Raw genomic sequence first — 3,088 nt, 5'->3', positions numbered from 1 at the left:
TCCCACCTGCTTGAGGCACTGGTTCAGGGGACGGCAGATCCCACCAAGCATGCTGGCAGATCCTGCCACCATCCTTGTCCCTTCATGGAATCCAGGGTTGGATTAGAACCCATAGCCAGGGTTCTGCATCTGCCTGGCTTCCCATTATGAACACAGGGCCATCAGGACATGCAGTCCCTGCTGGCCACATATCTGAGAGGCATTCTCTTAGGTCAGGTCACTGCGCTGGAGAGTGGGATAAGAAGAAGCCTAGGGGCAGAGGTGGGAGGTTAGACTCCAGCCCAGCCTTCCTTCAACACATAGAATTCTGTCCATCAGCGTAGGTTGGGCGCCATCCCTATAGCCAGGGGCCTGAAGCTAACTCTGTCTCACCCCCAGCTTGCACCCTACCTGCGCAGAGAGGTGTAATGGTCGGAAGGGTCAAGACCGACCTCATTGTCCCAGCTCACCTGGACCCCCAGGAGAGCCCGAGACCGGAGGACCAGGGTCCTGGCACATAGGACATTTGTCTATTTTCAGGCAAACTGGCAGCTCAGGATGACATGTGGACACACAGCAGGACCCAGCAATTCCTTATATTAACCTTCATCCTGCAGGGGGCAGGGTCGAGGGCAGAGGGTGGAGGGCAGCTGGAGCTCTTCCAGCAGAGCCAGGCTGAAGCTAGCCTCTGACAACCAAACCTGTCTGCTGAGATTCACAAGCAGGCTCCAGGAGGACACAGAGACACTTTGGAGAGCAGACTTTAAGCACTCTGACCCACTAAGGAAGGCTCAGGTTACCTTCCCACGACATTTATTCGTAAGATGCTAATGACAGCCATTCTCTATTCCTTAGGGCAGGTCCTGGAGGGACTTCTAGTGTCTCGTTTGAATATGCTTTTCATGCATTCTCTCTCCAAAGTAGACTCTAATTCAGACTGGCTTCCCTTTCTGCTACTCGGTCAATAGATATTTAGGAAGCCTCTCCAGCTGGCGGGGCAGGCTAGTCTACTTGGCAGTGGTGTGGTGGCCTAGCCACCCCTAGCACCCACTTCCCCCAGAGCTTTCCATTCCCCTACTGAGAAGACACCTGTGTCAGCAGGAGCCCACAGGCAGGCCTCCCCCTTCTGCAGGCCCCATAAAGCTTCAGAATCCCCACCCTCCAGCCAAGAGAGGCAGCTGAGAGGGTCAGTGAGTGGTTCTGGAACTATGGCTGTGTGGAGCCAGATAGAGGGAGTGCCCATCCTGGTGGCAGCGCCCCCACCGCTGGGTCCTAGGCATGGCCCCTTAAGCCCTAGGGCTGCTGCCTGCACCTGGTCTGTGGACAGCCCTCCCCGTGCCTGCTCCCTGGTCCAGCTCTTGGCTGGTCTGGCACGGGCCCGGTCCCTGGTCCCTCGAATATCTTTATGTCCCTGGAGTTTGCTTCCCATCCAGGCCCGAAGCCTGATAAAGAGCCCTCCAACCCTTACAGTGCCAAGCCCTAATCCTCATTTGGCAAGGCAAGAGTTGGTCTGGAGTCTGTCTCCTCTCAAGAACCTGCCTCCACTCACCAAGGTTCTATTATGGACCTCAAGAGCTGACTTGAGGAATCTGGAAAAGCTTCCTCCAAGAGCCTTAAGGGGATGCATTCATTTGAGGAATCACGGGACCAGCAGAAATGGCCCAGGGGCTTGGGTGGGGTGAAAGGGCCACATGGCATCCAAGCCCCAAGGCTACAGTGTGGAAGCGGGTTTCAGCAAGACAAGCCATGGGCATGGAGCCAAAAGGAACAGACGCCACCAAGATGCTAACGGGTCTTCTGCAGCATCCAAGATTTCTCTCAGCTTCCTCCTCTGTAAATGGGATCAAGTCCGGAACAGTGGATCAGACCTAGGTACACAGCCAGACAGGTCTGGTCTTTTATCTTGGGTGAGTTCCTTAATCTGCCCAATCTGCAGGTACATGGTCTGTAAAAGGGTCATGTTTACCCTTTGTGGCTGTTGACAGGGCTACAGGAAATGTACATAAAGTACCTGGCATCCAGCAGGGCTCCGTATGTGGGAGCGAACTATGACTTCATAGGCCGGGTTTGAGCACTAAATCAAATGAGATAACATATATGCGGGGGCTTGGTGAATTACAGTGCACAAATGGTAGCAATTAACCACTTACCGGTGTGTCCCCCTCTCCCGGGGCCTCATGGCTCTCTCCTTCTTTCTTTCTCACTCTAGTTTATCTTTTCTTCTCTGACTTAGCCTCATTTTGGCTTCTCTTTTTCTAGCCTCTTCTTTCTCTACCCATTCCCATATCCTTTAGAGCCATCATCCAACACCAGTTTCATCTGCCCTCACTCCAGAACCTACAATGGTTCCCTATTGTCCTGCATTCCAAACTCAGCAGCAGCAGCACCACCCACCCCCCAAGCCACCAGCTTTCCTTCCTGTCCCTCCCCAAAGCAGAGGCTTCCCACTGGTGAGCAGCTCTCCTTCCTGCCTCCCCTACGCCCACGCATGGCCTCCCCTCTGTCTTCTCTCATGCTGGCCCCCAGCCTGGAGAGCTCATTGTTGCTCGTTGCTGTCTCAACAAATGCAATCCCACCCATCCTTGAAGACTCAATTAAGTTCAATTTTGGAGTCAACAAATATGTTTCAAGCAGCTACTCTGGGGCAGGGTCTTTTGAAAGGGTTCTCTTTTTTGGGGAAATCACCTTAAAATTATAGTCAGAATGTTCTAGCTGTGTGACCTCAAGAAACTTACCTACCCTCTCTGAGCCTACCTTGTACAGTGCTTGTGAGGATTAAGTAGTTTGTAAAGTTTCCAGTCCAGTGCTCAGTGCATAGAAAATGGTTAATAAATAATAGCTACTTTTGTTATCCTGGTTCTTTGACATAGAAAATGAAGCCACACAGACCAGCTGGGAGTGTTGGGCTTTCACTGTGCAAGTAGTTAAAATCAAATATCCTCTCACTCGAGTGCTCAGCCAGGCCTCCAAACTCCATGCCACTGAGCATCCTTGGAGACCCCATCATTTGACACTCATTTGTAGTCAGCTTGCCTGTGCAGGTAGTTACGCTAGGCATGGAGGTGGGGGTGGCATATGAGGCTGGCATGTCCAGAACAGCTTCACAAAA

General features: G+C 52.5%; 1 annotated feature.

The window, feature by feature from the left end:
- Positions 879-1,828: an enhancer, noted in NCBI's record as "H3K4me1 hESC enhancer chr10:71422303-71423252 (GRCh37/hg19 assembly coordinates)". NCBI's record gives its function as "activates a minimal SCP1, AML or CMV promoter by ChIP-STARR-seq in primed H9 embryonic stem cells {active_cell/tissue: H9 hESC(primed)}" and the evidence as "EXISTENCE:reporter gene assay evidence [ECO:0000049][PMID:30033119]".

Source organism: Homo sapiens, chromosome 10 (genome assembly GCF_000001405.40).
Source record: "Homo sapiens chromosome 10, GRCh38.p14 Primary Assembly".
In the NCBI taxonomy this organism is placed as follows: domain Eukaryota; kingdom Metazoa; phylum Chordata; class Mammalia; order Primates; family Hominidae; genus Homo; species Homo sapiens.
The sequence above is the reverse complement of the archived record's forward strand: the minus strand, read 5'-3'. Positions and strand labels throughout refer to the sequence as shown.